General features: G+C 38.8%; 1 protein-coding gene and 1 pseudogene across 13 annotated transcripts in view, besides 1 other annotated feature; both read right to left on the bottom strand.

Moving 5' to 3' along the window:
* Positions 1 to 18,402, bottom strand: part of RANBP17 (RAN binding protein 17) — a 437,998-nt gene that overhangs the window by 42,476 nt on the left and 377,120 nt on the right. For all 13 annotated transcript variants that reach the window (XR_007058628.1, XM_011534627.2, NM_022897.5 and 10 more), the window contains 2 exons: positions 16,398 to 16,612; positions 14,720 to 14,858 (listed from right to left, as the gene is read on the bottom strand). Coding sequence is in view for 12 of the 13 variants with exons in the window: in XM_011534627.2 (XP_011532929.1) it covers positions 14,720 to 14,858; positions 16,398 to 16,612 (354 nt within the window). In the remaining variant the exon portion in view is untranslated. The remainder of the gene's footprint in view (positions 1 to 14,719; positions 14,859 to 16,397; positions 16,613 to 18,402) is intronic.
* On the bottom strand, positions 3,574 to 5,897 carry USP12P1 (USP12 pseudogene 1; annotated as a pseudogene).
* Positions 16,755 to 17,954: an enhancer, noted in NCBI's record as "BRD4-independent group 4 enhancer chr5:170666590-170667789 (GRCh37/hg19 assembly coordinates)". NCBI's record gives its function as "activates an origin of replication core promoter dependent on BRD2, P300/CBP, MED14 and CDK7 cofactors, and independent of BRD4, by STARR-seq in HCT116 cells {active_cell/tissue: HCT116}" and the evidence as "EXISTENCE:reporter gene assay evidence [ECO:0000049][PMID:35650434]".

The following is an 18,402-nucleotide window of genomic DNA, read 5'->3' as shown; positions in this document are numbered from 1 at the left end:
TGTGTAGAATAAGAGTGGTGGAAATGGGAATCCTTGTCTTGTTTTAGTTCTTAGAGGGAATGCTTTCAACTTTTCCCCATTCAGTATGATTTTGGCTGTGGGTTTGTCATACGTGCCTTTATTGCTTTGAGGTATGTTCCTTCTAAGCCTAGTTTGTTGAGGGTTTTTGTCAGGAAGGATGCTGGATTTTATCAAATGGTTTTTCTGCATCTATTCAGATGACGATATGGGTTTTTGTCCTTAATTTTGTTGATGTGATGTATCACATTTAATGATTTGTGTACACTGAATTAACGCTGCATTCCTGGGATAAATCCCAATTGATCATCGTGTACTATCTTTCGGATATGCTGTTGGATTTGATTTGCTAGCATTTGTTAAGGATTTCTGCACCTATGTTCATAATGGCCTGTAGTTTTTTTGTTGTGTCCTTGTCTGATATTGGTACCAGGGTGATAGTGACCTCATAGAATGGGTTAGGGAGAGTTCCCTCCTCCTCAATTTTTTGGAACAGTTTCAGGAGGACTGGTATTAGCTCTTCTTTGTATATTTGGTTTTGTATGTTTGTACGTCTGGATTTGAATCCATCTGGTCTTGAGTTTTTTTGCTGGGATTTTTTTTTTTTAAATTACTGATTTGATCTCACTAGTTGTTATTGGTCTGTTCAGGACTTCTATTTCTTCCTGGTTCAATCTCAGAACCTTGTATGTTTCCAGGAACTTATCCATTTTTTTCTAGGCTTTCTAGTTGGTGGGCATATCATTGTTCATAATAGTCTCTGATGATCTTTCATATTTCTGTGATCAGTTGTAACACCTCCTTTTTCATTTCTGGTTTTATTTGGGTCTTTTCTTGGTTAGTCTAGCTAGTGGTTTACCTATTTTGTTTACCTTTTTGAAGAAGAACCAACTTTTTGTTTTGTTGATCCTTTGTATTTTTTATTTCTTAGTCTCTACTTCATTTAGCTCTGCTCTGATCCTTACTATTTCTTTTCTACTGCTAATTTTGGGTTTGGTTTTTCCTTGCTTTTCTAGCTCCCTGAGGTGCACTGTCAGATTGTTAATTTGTAATCTTTCCACTTTTTTGGATATTAGCATTTATTGCTATAAACTTCCTTCTTTTTTTCCACAAATAAACCAACTTTAATAGATATTATTTTGTATCTATATAGCGCCTTCTTCAAGAACCTTAAATGCTTTACAGACATTATCTCTAATTAATCCCCACAACAACCCTGTAAGGTAGGTATTACTCCCATTTTAAAAGACAGTGAGACTGAAGCACAGAGAGGTTAAGTGACTTGCCCAAGGTCACACAGTTAAATTCACTGAAGAGCCAGGACATGAGCGCTTTAGCCTCTCAGCTCCCAGTCAAATACCTCATGATAGAATCTTTGATAAAAAGTGTTTTTAAAGAAAGTATCAAGAGTAGTTATGTTATGAAAATGTGGTCTTTCTACTGCCATCAAGGAAAGAAAAAACCCTATACCGATGGTTACCACAAGACCCATATAATACAACATTTCCTTTTTTCCCTATTCCCAAGCCTCCTGGTTCCTGTCTTAAATAATCTTTTAAAGGTAAAATTTCCAAGACAGAAGCCATGTGATTTAAGAAGTGGGATTTAATTTAGAATATTTACTTTTTTAGTTACAATAATTTATAGAAATTTTTATTCCAATATACAAAATATAGGACAGCCATCCTAACAATCATGTACATAGTTACACAGCAATCAGCCACCATTTACAACTTAAACCAGCCCCACATTTTAATCACAGTCAACCAACATATAACCTCACAACGCTTTCTTCATAGGTCACTTCTTACTTACTATACCTGTATTTTCTCCCCCAACCCTGACCCTATATGTTTTAAAAGTATATTGAATTTTTGATAAACTTCAAAACATTTTACTTAGATCCAGCTGCATTAAGAAGAAAAAGTAAATGTAAAACTGTCACCCCACAGTCCCTCCCCTTACAAATCATACTATGAAGTATGGTGTAGATGTGAACAAGGTATGTGACTACCAGGAACTCAATACATATACTAGAACTTGCTTTAATATGAAATTTAACTTGGCTTTTACTGCATGTTTTTTTTTAATGCAAAAATGTAAAAATAAACACAATGTAGTATTTCAATGCTGTACTTTAATGCAAATGACTTCATCTATCTTTCTTAAACATGTTGTGATATAGCTAATGTTAAAACTGACACAGCTTCACTTTCCTCTTTTTCTCTGTACTGAAAGCTGCAGAAATACAGCTTTAATTTCAAGACAATTTGATTTAAGCCCTCAAAATACAAAGTGTGCATCCACTTCCACTGCCCTGACTTTCCCCACATTGTTGACTGTGATTCTCTGTGGCATGTTGGTAGATCAGGCAGGCTATATATAATTTGTACAAAACATCTCTAGCCAGGGTAAGGCTTTAGAAACTATCTTAAAGAGAAACTTGTCAAAATACTTTTGATATTTAGTACAAATACTAAATATTATAATTTTCTTCCAGCACATCTGTTTAAGCAGCCCAATTACCTAAGTGACCCTGTTAAAGATCTGCTTATGGAAGAAATAGGTGAAGTCATTTACTGAGCCAAAAGATACAGATAATAAATGTTAATAATAGCAGCAGACTAAAAACATTCCTTTTTGTTGTTTGTTTTTCCATAGTCAACAGTTTTAGCAAAAGAATTTTAGAAAATGACAGATTTTTTTAAAAATTTACTGCCTGAAAAGAGTTTAATAAAGAACATCCAACGCCTGATTGCTATTATCCTGAATATAACTTTCAATAATTTTCTGCAAGTTACATTCGGCTACTGTCAGACAACTTACTAATGCATGGAAAAGTGTCCAAAAAAACTGCAATGGTTTACATATATTATGTACATATATTACTTCTTAAAACCCCCAACAGAATAAAGTCTTAGCAAACACAAATTTTAATTTCTGAACACCCTTCCAGTAAGATTTGTAAAGGTGGGTGGAAGGGGAGTAAAGACTTATTTTTTGTATTCCTAGTCTACTTGATTAAAATGTAATCTTCAAAGGGTTTGTTTAGCTCACTATCCAGGCTGCTAGGGTTATGATGAACATTATTACTTCTTTCCAGGGTAAAAAAATGACATCTGAAAATAACATAAATGCTATGACATGATTTTCCCAAGCATGACCTCAACTTGGAACATTAGAATACTTAAGAATTCTAAAGATTGGTATACCACCACTGCACTAGAATTTTTAATTATTCCAACAACTACAGGAATTTTTTTTTTTTTTTTTTTGAGACAGAGTCTCGCTCTGTTGCCCAGGCTGGAGTTCAGTGACATGATCTCGTCTCACTGCAACCTCCGCCCCCCAGGTTCCAGTGATTCTCCTGCCTCAGCCTCCCAAGTAGCTGGGACTACAGGCGCATGCCACCACACCCGGCTAATTTTTTGTATTTTTAGTAGAGACTGGGTTTCACCGTGTTAGCCAGGATGGTCTCGATCTCCTGACCTCGTGATCCACCCGCCTCGGCCTCCTAAAGTGTTGGGATTATAGGCGTGAGCCACCGCGCCTAGCCAGGAATATTTTTTATAGTTTTTTAATTTTATGAAATTAAAGCTGAAGAAAATAACTGATTTAGAAACCATAATAAAAGGACAAATATTTGGCCAGAGATATCAGTTCCTCCTGAAAAAGGATATTTACCTCCTCTCATTGCAGTTTTTCTCAAGGTATCTTACTGATTTCAGATATAATTTAAAATTCACCTTAAAAATAGAAACAAACAAAAGGACTACTTAAACTGACATTAACTAATAAAAATATGCTCAAATTTACTGACAGAATCATGGGCACTTCATACAATACTTAGACTCTACCAGTTTTAAGTAAAATAAATAAGGAAAAAATTATGATTACAAAGCCAGTCTTTCCCCTTGGGGAAACAAAAAGCCACTTTTGACCAATTGCTCCCTACATGTATTATTATAAGCTTCTTCAGAGAACCAAAACATCTTTGTCTTCCTGACACTGGATTATCTAGCATGTTAGTTTTTACATCAGGAAGGCAACTGCAAGTGTTGGGCCCAAAAGTGTTTCTGGTTTACTCTTGAAAAGACCACTGAATATGCTTCTATACATACTGAACCAGGCAAATTTATGCAGTGTGTTCAACATCATCTCCTTATCAGTACAGCACAGATTCCGATTCTTTCTACTGCACCCCCAAGGAATTCATGGCATTATTGGTGCAATTAATAAAGAGAAAATGCATGTTAATACTGGAAGGCTGTTTTACAAGAGGAACTGGTATCTCTGATTTCACCTCCTTGTTGAATGGAACTGTACAGACAGCATGATACCTGAGCAAATAAATCAACTACTGTGATCGGAAGGGCTTGTCAATCCATCGTCTTTGCTTTATCGTGTGCAAAGTGTGCTACTGCCCCCAGAGCTTCCTGCATTTTCTCTTTTCTTGAAAAATCAGTGCTTGATCCTTTCCAAAATAACCAGAGAAGAAATGCGGCAGAAAGTATCTCTTCATCACGGTTCCCCCTCAATCCCGAGACTGATAGAAAAGGATGTAACCAGACTCAGAGTTCTTTGAGATATCTGATGTCAGCCCGTAGACTTCTTCAATAGCTTGTGCATCTATTTTTTCTACAATGTCGTCATCAAACAACAACCAAAAATCATGACTCTTAACTATTACAATACAATGGCCTCGACTGGGACCAATGCTGACAATGAGGCTGCACACACCCTCCACACTTTCATATGAAGCAAGTCTACAAATAAGTCTTCCACAGTGAACCACAACAGCAACAAGGCTGTACATTCTGTCTGGATTGGTGGCATCACCTGAAGTGTTAAATAGACTAAGTTTTAAAGGAAAAACTACCTGGTAAGAGAGTTTTGTAAATCGATGAAGTTGATCCTTATATTTAAATCTCTTCAGGTGTGGAGCTAGAATCATGGGCAGTTTTTAAACTTTCCTCCGTTTGTGTGCTTCCTGTTTGCTGCGACACTCTTCACAGTAATACTTGTACTCACTGCATAGGGTTTCTGTGTTGCTGAAAGCCCTTAAGCAGTGAGTAATTGATGTATTTTGTTCCACGTCAACAGACAGGTCTAAAAAATCTTCATCTTTGCTGCTCATAGTTTCACAAGTAAGACATCTGGTTTCATTAGTTAATGTTCCCTGAAAAATCTCATGAACCCGCATTGGGTCTGGGGTGCTGTTATTATTTTCATTATTAATATTACCATTAGGTAAGCGGCCATTTTGTTTTTCTTGCTTTCTCTCTTCTTGTAAAATATCAGCAATTGTATTTAGTAGGTAATTTAAGAATTCATGGGGGATCTTGTTGCATGTAGTTGTCAAAAAGCTCATCTTCTTTCTGTAATCTTGTGATGAACTTCTTGGGAGGTATTACTCCAACTTTTTCTTCTGAGTGGCTATGCTATGGAAGAGATCTGCTAAGCATGTAAGAAGGCTCTCCTTTTTCCTAGGTTGACTCTTCTATGCAAGAACTGTTTCCCGAAATGGACGACAAAAATAAAGTGCTTGAAGAACTGAATTGCAGTAGCAGGTATTCCCAAAACTGACTAATCCAAAATAGTGCTCATTCACTGGAAACTGTTCTGGACCAATCTCCTTCTCTAATGCCGAAGCATTGGCACTCATGGTACAGATGGAAGCGAATTTGGAGACTGTCATTAGGATTTACATCCGGCCAGCACCATCTTCCACCCAATCACAGAGGCGGGGGCGGGCGCGGGAGGAGGGGAACGGGGCCACCTGCTCGCACCGCAGCCCGCGGGTGGACCCCGAGCCGCCACGGACCCACACACTGAGCCCGCTGGGCCGCCACTGCCTTCGTCGCCACCGGCGCTCAAGCCTATAAACTTCCTTCTTAGCACTGCTTTTACTATATCCCACAGGTTTTGGTATGTTGTGTTTCCATTCTCATTTGTTTCAAGAAGTTTTTTTTTTTTTTTTCCACTATAATTTTACATTGACCCAATGATTATCCGGGAGCGTGTTCTTTAATTTCCATTTATTTGTATAGTTTCCAAGTTCCTCTTGGTATTGATTTCTGGTTTTATTCCACTGTGGTCTGAGAAGATACCTGATATGATTTCAATTTTTAAAAATTTGTTGGGCCAGGTGCGGTGGCTCATGCCTGTAATTCCAGCACTTTAGGAGGCCAAGGTGAGCAGATTGCTTGAGCCCAGGAGTTTGAGACCAGCCTGGACAACATAGCAAAAACCTGTCTCTAAAAAAAAAAGCTGGGCATGGTGGCACATGCCTGTAGTCCCAGCTACTTGGGAGGCTAAGGCAGGAGAATTGCTTGAGCTTGGGAACACAAGGCTGCACTGAGCCATGACCACGCCACTGTGCTCCAGCCTGGGTGACAGAGTGAGACCCTGTCTCTAAAAAAAATTTTTGTTGAGACCTGTTTTGTGGCTTAACATATGGTCTATCCTAGAGAATGTTCCATGTTCCGATGAAAAGAATGTATATTCTGTAGTTGAGTAGATTCTGTAGCTCTGTTAATTCCATGTGGTCTAAAGTCCAGTTTAAATGCAAAGTGTCTTTGTTGACTTCCTGTCTAGATGATCTGTTTAATGCTGACAGTGGCATGTTGAAGTCCTCCACTATTATTATATTGTAGTGTGTCTCTTCAAATTTAGTCATTTTAGGAATCCAGGTGTTCCAGTGTTGGGTACATACATATTTAGAACTGCTATAGTCTCTTGCTGGATTGATCCCTTTATCATTATATAATGACCTTCTTTGTCTTTTTTCCCCTTTTCTTGATATAAAGTCGGTTTTATCTGATACAAGGGTAGCTATTCCTGTTCGCTTTTGTTTTTTGTTTGTGTGGATTATCTTTTTCCTTCTCTTTACTTTCACTCTATATGTGTTTACTGCCAAGGTGAGTTTCTTGTAAGCAGTATATAGTTGGATCAAATTTTTTTTTTAAATCAGTTCAGCCATTCTATATCTTTTTAACTGGATAATTTAAATCCATTTATGTTCAAGGCTATTACTGATATGTGAAGGTTTGTTCCTGTCATATTGTTAATTGTTTTCTGGTTGTTTTACATATTCTTTTTTCCCATCTTTTTCTCTTACTAATTGTGGTTTGGTGAATTTCTGTCGTGGTACCATTTTAGTCCTTTCTTCTCTTTGTGTGATTGCTTTACTAGTGAATTTTAAACTCTTGTGTGTTTTCATGATGGTAAATGTCATCCTTTGTTTTCAGGTTTAGGACTCCCTTGAGCATTTCTTGTGGCTGCAGTCTAGTGGTAACAAACAAATTCCCTTAGCATTTGCTTCTCTTGGAAAGACTTTATATCTCCTTCATTTACAAAGGTTAATTTTACTGGATGTAGTATTCTTGGCCAGTTTTTCTTTCTGTACTTTGAATGTATCATTCCATTGTCTTCTGGCCTGTAAAGCTTCTCCTGAGAAATCCACTGTTAGCCTGATGGGGTTCCTTTTATAGGTAACTAGATGCTTTTCTTTTGCAGTTTTAAGGATTTGCTCTTTAAGTTTTACTATAGATATTCTGACTATAATGTACCATGGAAAAGACCCTTCTGCATTGTATCTTCCTAGGGATCACTGAGTTTCCTGTATGTGAATGTCTACATTTCTTGTAATAAATGGGAAATTTTCATCTATTATTTCTGTAAATGGGCTTTCTAATCCTTTGTCTCTGTTCTCATGGATGCTGGCAATTTGAATATTCAATCACTTTATGTTGTTTCATATGTCATGAAGGCTTGGTTCATTCTTTTTCTTTCAAATTTTTTTTGTCTGACTGGATTATTTGAAAAAGTCCTGTCTTCAAGTTCTGAGATTCTTTCTTCTGCCTGATCTAGCCAACTATTGAAGCTTTCAAATGTATTTTGTATTTCCCTCAATGAATTCTTCAGTTCCAGAATTTCTATTTATTTATTTATTTAAATCTCTTTGGTAATGTTCCCATTCATATCCTGAATTGTATTTGTATTGTTTTTCAGATTTCTCTTATAACACACTGAGCTGCTTTAAAATCAGTATTTTGAATTCTTTATCTGGGATTTTGAAAATTTCTTTTTGAGTAAGATCTATTGCTGGAGAATTACTGTGTTCCTTGGGAGGTGTCATATTTTCTTGTTTTCATGTTTCCTGTGGCCTTATGTTGATATCTGTACATCCAGTTTAACAGTCACTTTTTCTTGTTTTTGAATTTACTTTCATAGGGGAGGCATTTTTCCTGAAGAAGTATCTGTGGTATTGGTTGGGTAGGGCACTTTGGCTTTGATTGTGGATGTATGCAGTAGTATAGTAGTGTAGTATTATTTCTTTGGTTGTAAGTAGCATTAGTGCTTTCTGTAACTTTCTTGGAGGGTTAGGGTGCAGTTATTAGTGGAAGCTGTGGCAAATTTTGTGCTGGGAGCTGGGAAACCAGGCAGGTCTCAGTCTTCAGGCCCAGTGGTGGCAATGGTGGGATGAACGTGCCTGTCTTTGTGCCCCAGGGTAGTATAGGCTGGCACTTGTGTTGGCAGTTATGGGCAAGCTGATTCTTGGGCCTCCAGGTGGCTTGCACATATGCTGGTAGTAGCAGCGGTGGGCTGGGTGGGCGAGCAGATTCTAGGGTCCTTGGGTGGCCCACGTGGCATGGGTGATGGAAGTAGCAGTGGTAGGATGACCCTTTGGGTCTTGAGTGGTGCAGGCTGGGTGAGTGCAGCTCTCTGGGTGGACACTGGGGAATGTCAGCAGGAATTCTCAGGATGTGGAGATACAAGGGCTGTGGTTTCCAGGGGCAGATGCAGTCCTGTGATGGCTGCACTCTTCAAATGGTACCCTGCTGCACCTTTTCAGGTCTGGAAGGGTGAGTGACCCAGCACCAGTTCCCTGGCTGGTGCAATGCCTTTACAGGGTCTTCAAATCACTGCTCATGTTAATGTTGAGTTCATAAGGGTAGAAAAGCTTTCATGTGGTTTAGATTGCAGTAGTCTGTGGCAGGCACGTGGACTGCCTAAGTTCTCTCATTTACCCTTTTCTCTGCAATACTGAGCCCCTCTGGGCTTTCTGGCCAATCTTGGCCGAGCTGGCTGCTTGCTTCCTTCTCTTTCTGTGCCTTAAATGTTTCCTGTGAGTTCTTTTTTTTTTTTTTTTTGAGATGGAGTCTCGCTCTGTTGCCCAGGCTGGAGTGCAGTGGCATGATCTCGGCTCACTGCAAGCTCCACCTCCCGGGTTCATGCCATTCTCCTGCCTCAGTCTCCCGAGTAGCTGAGACTACAGGCGCCCGCCACCACGCCCAGCTAATTTTTTTGTATTTTTAGTAGAGACGAGGTTTCACCGTGTTAGCCAGGATGGTCTCAATCTCCTGACCTCGTGATCTGCCCGCCTCTGCCTCCCAAAGTGCTGAGATTACAGGCGTTAGCCAACGCGCCCAGCCTTCCTGTGAGTTCTTTATAGGACTCTAGTCTTCTCTTCTAGATGTTCTATTCGAGGTATAAGATTATCTATTCATAATTTTGGTTCTTCTTTTGGGAGAGGGCAGATGTCTGATGTCTTCAGTCAGCCATCTTGACTTATTCTTTTTCCACCACCCCATTTTAATTCTTTGTTTAGCGCATATAATGATTTGATTTTTTTGGCATGTGTATTTGTTTGTTCAATTATTGCTTATCTCTTCCCACTAGAATGCAAGCTTTCATGTGGGCAGGAATCTTATCTGTCTTGTTCCCTTCAGTACTGCCAAGGTTTAGAAAGGTACTTGGTACATAGTATATGCACAACTGATAATTACTGAATGAAGGAGTTCAGAGCCATTAGTAAGAGCAGCTTTTTGAAGACACTGTGCTTGGTGTCTGTGCATAAGAGTTGCGGGTTGGGGTGGGCAGAGAATGGATGGATGATTAAAAAGATAGCATGAAATTAAAAATGCTAATGAATGAAATTAACTAAAATTTTTTGTATCATTTTTGGAATATTCGGCAAGTCATCACTCTATCACTGATTCAACTTTTCTGTACCTCCTTATTTTTTCCATCAAGGCAACAATAGAAATTAAACCTGCCTGTAGTCCAAACAATACCAATAAATTCCTCTTTTTAAAATATATCATTGTTGGGAAAGGAAAAATTCAAGTAGTTACTTTCAACATTCTAAATAGTCCCCTTTCTTGATGACACAGGGCCCAAATTCACCTGCTAGAGTTATCCAGTGGTTACAATGTGAATCTGCAACAATACAAGAGGCTGAAGATAAACCACCAATATGTACAAAGAAAATAATCTCTACCAGGCCTCTAGCTGTCAAAGCTGTGACCTTTATCAGGTAGATCTAGCAGGGTAGTGTGGTGAGGAAGAAGGGGTTTTAGAGTTTGAATGATTCCTAGGTCATTCACTTATTAGTTTTATGATCTTAGGCAAATTGTTTCACCTCTCTGAGCCACAGCTTACCTCATCTGTATAATGAAAATAATATTATCTAATTAATGCATTCAGTAAATATTTATCGAACACTTACTATAATGCTAGGAGCTGGAAATAGTGAGTAAGACACTGTTTCTGCCCTTCAGAAGCTTACAACCAAGTAGAATATAAGAATAAAGAGTGCTCTTAGAGTACCTAACCTGCTTTTGGTATACAAATGGTTCTGAGAATGAAGAGAGTCAAGTATCCACATGAAACACCTATGACAGCAGCAGGCACACCACATGTGCCCATGGTCACACAAGTAGTAAGTGGTAGTGCTGGGACTTAAATCCAAGTTCAGTATTCCCTTCGTAATGCCACTTTGTCAAGATGCCCTTGAAAGTCTGTTAAAATGCAGATTCTAAGTCTTAACAAGATCACATGTTGAAAATAACATAGCTAACTGAAACTAATTCAAAATCTTCAAGTATTACTATGATGTAAGATAAAAGAATGTCCAGCCAAACTGTAATAATAGAAGACAGAATTTCTTCTTATTCCATGAAGAATTAACTGCTATGAGAATTTGCCCTCCTGCCAAACAACTAGAAAACAGGACAAATTATACGAAACAATGGTTTTCAATTATTGTACAACAAGCAGTACAGGATCATTAAACCAGAGAGGAGGAAAACAATTGCTCAAGTTTACTGCCCAGAGCAGTTTCCAGATTGCAGGCTAGTAAAGGGAAAACCCAAACAAAGCCAAACAGGCTCACTGAGTTGGAGAATAAAAGGTTGAAATCTGGGAAGGCTAAAGCAGCTAAAACTTGTAGTACAGAGTACCAGAGTGTGGGACCTACGTAAGAGAGTTCTACAGCTCTCCAAGGGAGTCCTCTCCAGTGTTTGTCTGAACAGTGACTTATAAAAGTATGAGAAAAGGCCGGGTGCGGTGGCTCACACCTGTAATCCCAGCACTTTCGGAGGCTGAGGTGGGTGGATCACTTGAGGTCAGGAGTTTGAGACCAGCCTGACCAACAAGGTGAAACCCTGTCTCTACTAAAAATACAAAAAAATTAGCTAGGCGTGGTGGCACATGCCTGTAATCCCAGGTACTTGGGAGGCTGAGGTAGAAGAATTGTTTGAACCCAGGAGGCGGAGGTTGCAGTGAGCCGAGATCATGCCACTGCACTCCAGCCTGGGCGATGGAGCGAGACTCCATCTCAAAAAAAAAAAAAAAAAAAGTATGAGAAGAAACTCCCAAGGCTGGGTAAAGAACCACTGAAAAGCAATAGGCCAAATAATTCCTGAAGATTACAAGCTGGAAGTCATTTGTGGAGGAACTTCATAACACATGGAGCACTGGAATGTCATAAGGTTAACACTTTAGTGGTGGGGCCCAGTTACTCCAAAATAAGAGTTGCCATCCGATCTCAAATGAGTCAAACTGATCCAAAAGTTATTCAACTGCAGGATAGAATAAAATCCACATTAAAAAAATCAAAATTGGCTGGGTGCAGTGGCTCATGCCTATAATCCCAGCACTTTGGGAGGCTGAGGCAAGAGGATCATCCAAGGTCGGGAGTTCGAGACCAGCCTGACCAACATGGAGAAACCCCGTCTCTACTAAAAAAACAAAATTAGCTGGGTGTGGTGGTGCATGCCTGTAATCCCAGCTACTCAGGAGGCTGAGGCAGGAGAAACACTTGAACCCGGGAGACGGAGGTTGCAGTGGGCTGAGATTGTGCTGTTGCACTCCAGCCTGGGCAACAAGAGCGAAGCTCTGTCTCCAAAAAATAAAAACCAAAATCTAGCACAGAAATAAAATTCAACATGTAAAATTCATGATGTCTGGCACACATTCAAAAATAACAAGTTATATTAAGAATGAAAAAAACATGACCCATAAGGAGAAAAATCCATAGGAACAGATCCAGAAATCACATCAGTAGACAAGGACCTTAAAACAGCTATTAAAAATCTTTTTTTTTTGGAGACAGAGTCTTGCTCTGTTGCCCAGGCTGGAGTGCAGTGGCATGATCTTGACTCACTGCAAGCTCCGCCTCCCAGGTGCACGCCATTCTCCTGCTTCAGCCTCCTGGGTAGCTGGGACTACAGGTGCCCGCTACCAAGCCCGGCTAATTTTGTTTTTGTATTTTTAGTACAGACGGGGTTTCACTGTGTTAGCCAGGATGGTCTCAATCTCCTGACCTCGTGATCCGCCCAGCTCGGCCTCCCAAAGTGCTGGGATTACAGGCGTGAGCCACCGCGCCTGGCCTATTATAAATCTTATACATATGATCAATGTTAAAAAAACATAAACCTGATGAGGGGAAAATGGAAAATATTTAAAAATTCAATATTAAAATATTGAAGTCCAGGCATGGGGGTTCATGCTTGTAATCCCAGTGATTTGGGAGGCCGAGGTGGGTGTATCGCTTGAGGTCAGGAGTTCAAGACCAGCCTGGCCAACATGGCAAAACCCTATCTCTACTAAAAATATAAAAATTAGCTGGGTATGATGGCGCAAGCCTGTAATCTCAGCTACTTGGGAGGCTGAGGCACAATAATTGCTTGAACCTGGGAGGTGGAGGTTGCAGTAAGATGAGATTGCATCACTGCACTCCAGCCTGGGCAACAGAGTCAGACTCTGTCTAAAAATAAATAAATAAATAAAAAATAATTCTAGAGAATAAAAATATAATGTCTAAAATGAAAACAAATACAGTTCCTTTTTTTGTTTTTGAGATGGAGTTTCGTTCGTTGCCCAGGCTGGAGTGCAGTGGTGCGATCTTGGCTTATTGCATCCTCAGTGATTCTCCTGCCTTGGCCTCCCGAGTAGCTGGGACTACAGGCGCACACCACCACACCTGGCTAATTTTTTGTATTTTCAGTAGAGACAGGGTTTCACCATGTTGGCCAACCTAGGCTTGAACTCCTGACCTCAGGTGATCCACCTGCCTTGGCCTCCCCAAATGCTAGAATTACAGGCATGAGCCACCGTGCCCAGCTAAAATCTTTTAATATTTTTTTTGAGACAGAATTTCATTCTTGTTGCCCAGGCTGAGTGCAATGGTGCAGTCTCGGCTCACTGCAACCTCTGCCTCCTGGGTGCATCTGGGTGCATGTGATTCTCCTGCCTCAGCCTCCTGAGTAGTTGGGATTATATGCGCCCACCATCATGCCTGGCTAATTTTTTTTTGTATTTTTAATAGAGATGGGGCTTCACCATGTTGGCCAGGCTGGTCTTGAACTCCTGATCTCAGGTGATCCACCCGCCTCAGCCTCCCAAAGTGCTGGGATTACAGGCTGAGCCACCGCGCCCAGCCCCAAATACAGTATTAATAGAATATTAGGTATCACAGAAGAAAAGATTAGTCAACTTGAAGATTCTACTTCACACCCACTATCATGGCTAAGATGAAAAAGATGTTAATAATGTTAGTGAGTATACAGAGCAACTGGAATCCTCATATACTGTTGGTGACAGCAAAATGCTGTCACTGTCACTCTGGGAAACAGTTTGTTAGTTTCTTATAATGTTAAAAATACACTTAGCATATAACCTAGAAATCCCACTTCTAGGTATGTACCCAAGAGAAATAAAAAAAATTTACCTACATAAATACTTGTATAGGAATGTTCATAATAGCTGTATTCAAAATAGTCAAATAATGAAAGTAACCCAAATGTCCATCAGCTGGTGAATAAACAAACTAATAATACATACAATGGAATAATACTCAGCAATAGAAAGGAATAAACTAATTGATTTTCAAAATAACATGAATGAATCTCAAAGTCACTATGCTAAATGAAAGAAGCCAGATGCAAATAACTTCATATTATACAATTCCACTTGAATGTAATTCTGGAAAAGAAAACTATTGTGAGAGAAAGCATTAGTTTCCTGGGGTGAGAGGTAGGGGGAAGGGATTGATTAGAAGGAGGAAAAAAAGGAGCTTTTTGTGGTGATAAAAATGTGCTACATATTGGTCGTGGTGGTTATGTTTGTGTACATGTACACATTTGTACAAGGACTCACTGAACTATCCACTTAAAGTCACTGAATTTTATTGTATGTAAATTATACCTCAGTAAAGCTGATTAAAACATAACTGACTATGTATCAAAATATGAAGAAATACATTTTTCCCACTTGCAAGTAATAATTATAATCTTTCAGTTTGGGTTCACAATATCTTTTCCCCCTTTGTAGGATGATAGTCTCAATAATCACATACATTAAAAGCCCATAATCAAGTTTTTCCTATGGAAACAATGTCCTCTATGATCCTTACCAAGAGTAGTGAGTCCCTCTGAGATAGATGTGAGAACATACATGAGTACAGGAGGCTCTAAGTTGATGATGAAGCTCATATGGTCCTGAGTGAGACATTCCAGGAGTGGATAATAAGACTGGCTCAGTTTCCGGTATTGCTACAACACAGAGATATACTAAATGTCAAGCCACAGAGAAGAAAAATACATGTTACAGTCCAGTGAAAATTGTCATTTATAATACTGGAAATTGTAAACTTATTTAAACACAAGGTCAATAAATATATAGAGCAAATGACATAATGAGTCCCAATCCAGCATTTAAAGGGGTTCTGATAGGAATCGCTTGATCTCTTTACCTTATATGGTTAGCACTTAAAAGTAAAATCCCTGCAGTACGATATTTAGAAGACTGTGTGAATTATTTTTCTGGATTGGAATACTGTAACACTGAACAGTGCTTAACAGTCGCTAGGAAACCTTTTTTTTGTTGGTTTTTTAAACACAAAGACATTTGCTGTTATAATGGGATTTGGCACCATAGTCTGTTGTATTAATATAATGCTAATCCATCTAACTAAATAATAATTTGGTAAAGGGCTTAATATTTACCATACACTACAGGCAAAAGATAAGTGCATGAGAAAGATACCTGAAAAATCTCAAATGCAATCCAAACCAGTATCAAAGAAACACACTTGTAAGATAAATTAGAGAAGCTGGGCATGGAGGTTCATGCTGGTAATTCCAGCTACTTGGGAGGCTGAGGCAGGAGAATTGCTTAAGCCCAGGAGTCTAAGAACAGGCTGGGCAACACAGCAAGACCCTGCCTCTAAAAAAAAAAAAAGAAAAAAAGAGAAACCAGAGGAGCATTTCTTAAAGTGATGTTAAGACCAACTCAATAGGAATCACTTGGGGTGCTTGTTAAAAACGCAGTTTCCTGATCCCCACTTCAGACTCGCTAAATGACAAGCTCTAGTGTAGGCTCTGAAATGTATATTTTTAACACACGTTAAGAGAGTCTTATGCACCTTCAAGTTGGAGAATTACTGAGTTGAAGGTTTGTTTGACTATTAGAATAAAAAAATTAGAGAAAAATTCTTGGAACCATACCAGTTGTCTTGGTGGACTTTAACTGTAGTGAAGTAACTCTTTGATGAGGTGATTTTAACATATGGCTGATTTGACTCAAGTTTCTACTTTGTAATTTCTGTCTAACAGACATATCCTTCAATGATCATTCCATTCTACTACAAGGAAGTCCTCTCTTTGGCTTGAGATGCAGCCATTCCAAGATTAGTTTATAAAGGTGGAAGATGATGCACTAGTCCACTAGGAGATCAAGAAGCATTTCTTACACAGGTTGACTAACAAAGGCCTTCCAGATTTTACTTGTAACCTTGAGTGGGAGCAGGTGGGAAAGCCTGAACTAAGCCTAAGCATGATTTGGCTATGTTACTCAAGTAATTACTGCTACTACATTGGGCACATATTGGTTTCTATATAATCAGGCAGAGATGCTAAAAAAAAAAAAAAGCCACTATAGTTTTCCAAATTCTGTAAGTTAGATCAAGTATGCTGTCTTAAAACATAAAATGTTCTAGGCTAACTCCCTGGGCTTCATTATAACACTTCCAGGCCTGTGGTGGTGTTACTTCACATTTCATACAAACACTCCCATGATGCATGATTGCTTACTAGCAAGTCACTGTGGGACACTGACAGCAGCATTTTGACAAAAGCCTGGAGTACATTGTCAAAATGGTTGTCCCCATACAACTTGAAGACGCCAAAGCTGACATAATTTCCACACAAGGCAGACTTGAGAGCTGAATAGCAGATGGAGATGCCCTTGAGTTTCATTGGATAAATCTGATCTTTTGAGAGGCTCCCAAGGGACAGGATCTGATTACCTGTTTCAGGATAAAAGCAGAAAGTGACATAAGTAGATGTCATTCAAAGTAGTTATGGGACACACTATTTAACATTTTTACTTTACTGCTAATGTTCACTTCCTCCCAGCATATTTTTAAGAATTTTTTTTTATTCATTGTAATAAAAAATATAAATACATATGGCAGTTTACCTGGAAGTACAAAAGGCCCAAGGAAAAATCAATATCCTTATATTGGAAAAGCTCTATATTTTTATCTGCATGGTGATTACACAGATGTATACATAGATATGTAAAATTTCATTAAGTTGTACTCTTAAGACTATTCATTTTACTCTATGTGTTATCCTGTCAGTAAAAAATTTTAAAAAGTAGGATAAAACTAAGTCAAGAGAAAAAGATAACCTGACTGAGATGTAAATTACCCTAAATTCTCGGCAAATTTTTGACCTTTTATATGAATTTGATCTTGAGTTACTTCATTTTTAGGAGCCTCACAGGTTTGGTATACGAATTCAATGAAATAACACACACAGAAGTTCTTGGTGCAGTGTACAGTAAATATTACTTCCTTTTTCTTCTTAGATCCTTCTTCAGAAGATCTCAAGAGATGATTGTTTTAAAAATTGTACTTAAATTCTGCGTTGACCATCAGAAGACAAAGAAATGTTTGTATGATCACCCTAAAATCTTCTGTAGTACAGTTAGCATTTACAATCAATGATTTCTGTTTCTGAAATGTGTGCTAGTAAGTATGTTACTAGGCAATACTTGATAATGTTTTAAAAAAATATAAAGTAATATATGTTTCTTACCTCTGCTTTTTCCTGGTCAAATGAGTATTGCTTCTAAAATTGAAACTAAATTCAATTTACAAAATTTAGAAGTATAATATAGTGGCTTACACTGTGTCAACTTAGCTAACAAGAATTAAGTTTCTTAGAATCCACTTCCCTTTATGGTTGTGGGCTAGAATTGGCCAAAAGAGACATTTGTGTGAGATTTGGATGCTGGGAGTGGAGTAGCTGCCATGACTTTTTAAAGGTTGCTGTGGTTAGAGGTGGTAAGAGTAACAGGTAGAAATGCTGCTCGGTTTCACTTTGTCCTTGTTCTTCCTTGTCCTGTTTGTGTCTAGAACTACCAGCCCTGCTGACCAATATCTCCAAGCCCACCACCAAACAGGTGGTAGCACACTTACAGAAGCAATAGCTATGCAGACGCAACAGCCTTCTACTGACTTCTATACCATAACACCAGCTACCTTCTCACCCCTAATCCTTTCATAGTTCCACTCTAGCACCTAAATGTGCCTGGTTTCTAGATTTCCCTGCAAATTCCAACTTGTCTATGCCATTATTTCAGGAGGGCTGATCAGTGATATTTTTCCCCTGAACCTCCAACTCCCCACTTTGGCCCTATTTCCCCATCTTTGCCTAAGATTGTATAAGGTCTAATTTCTAAAATAAGTTATCCATTCCAAAAGTATTATCATGCTTGTTTTTCCTGGTTTGAAGCTTGACTGACATATATATATTATGGTAATCACATGTGTACTAAGAGGTTAAGAAGGACCAATACTTCTAGCAGAGCATGAAACACAGGACCAGCACAGGGTAAAGGTTCCCTCTTCTTGATCTGCCTTGATCTGTTCCATGTATGTGGAGCATTTCCATATGCATATTCTCTTCTGTGTAGCCTTAGAAGTCCATATAACTTTGCTTATAATTTATATATCTGAATGACAAAACCACTGTCTAGAAGGCTGAAGCATATCTGGTAATTTACTCAATACCAAATTCTGTACCCTCT

The sequence above is a fragment of the Homo sapiens genome, chromosome 5 (genome assembly GCF_000001405.40).
Source record: "Homo sapiens chromosome 5, GRCh38.p14 Primary Assembly".
NCBI lineage: Eukaryota > Metazoa > Chordata > Mammalia > Primates > Hominidae > Homo > Homo sapiens.
This window is presented reverse-complemented; position numbering and strand designations above follow the sequence as displayed.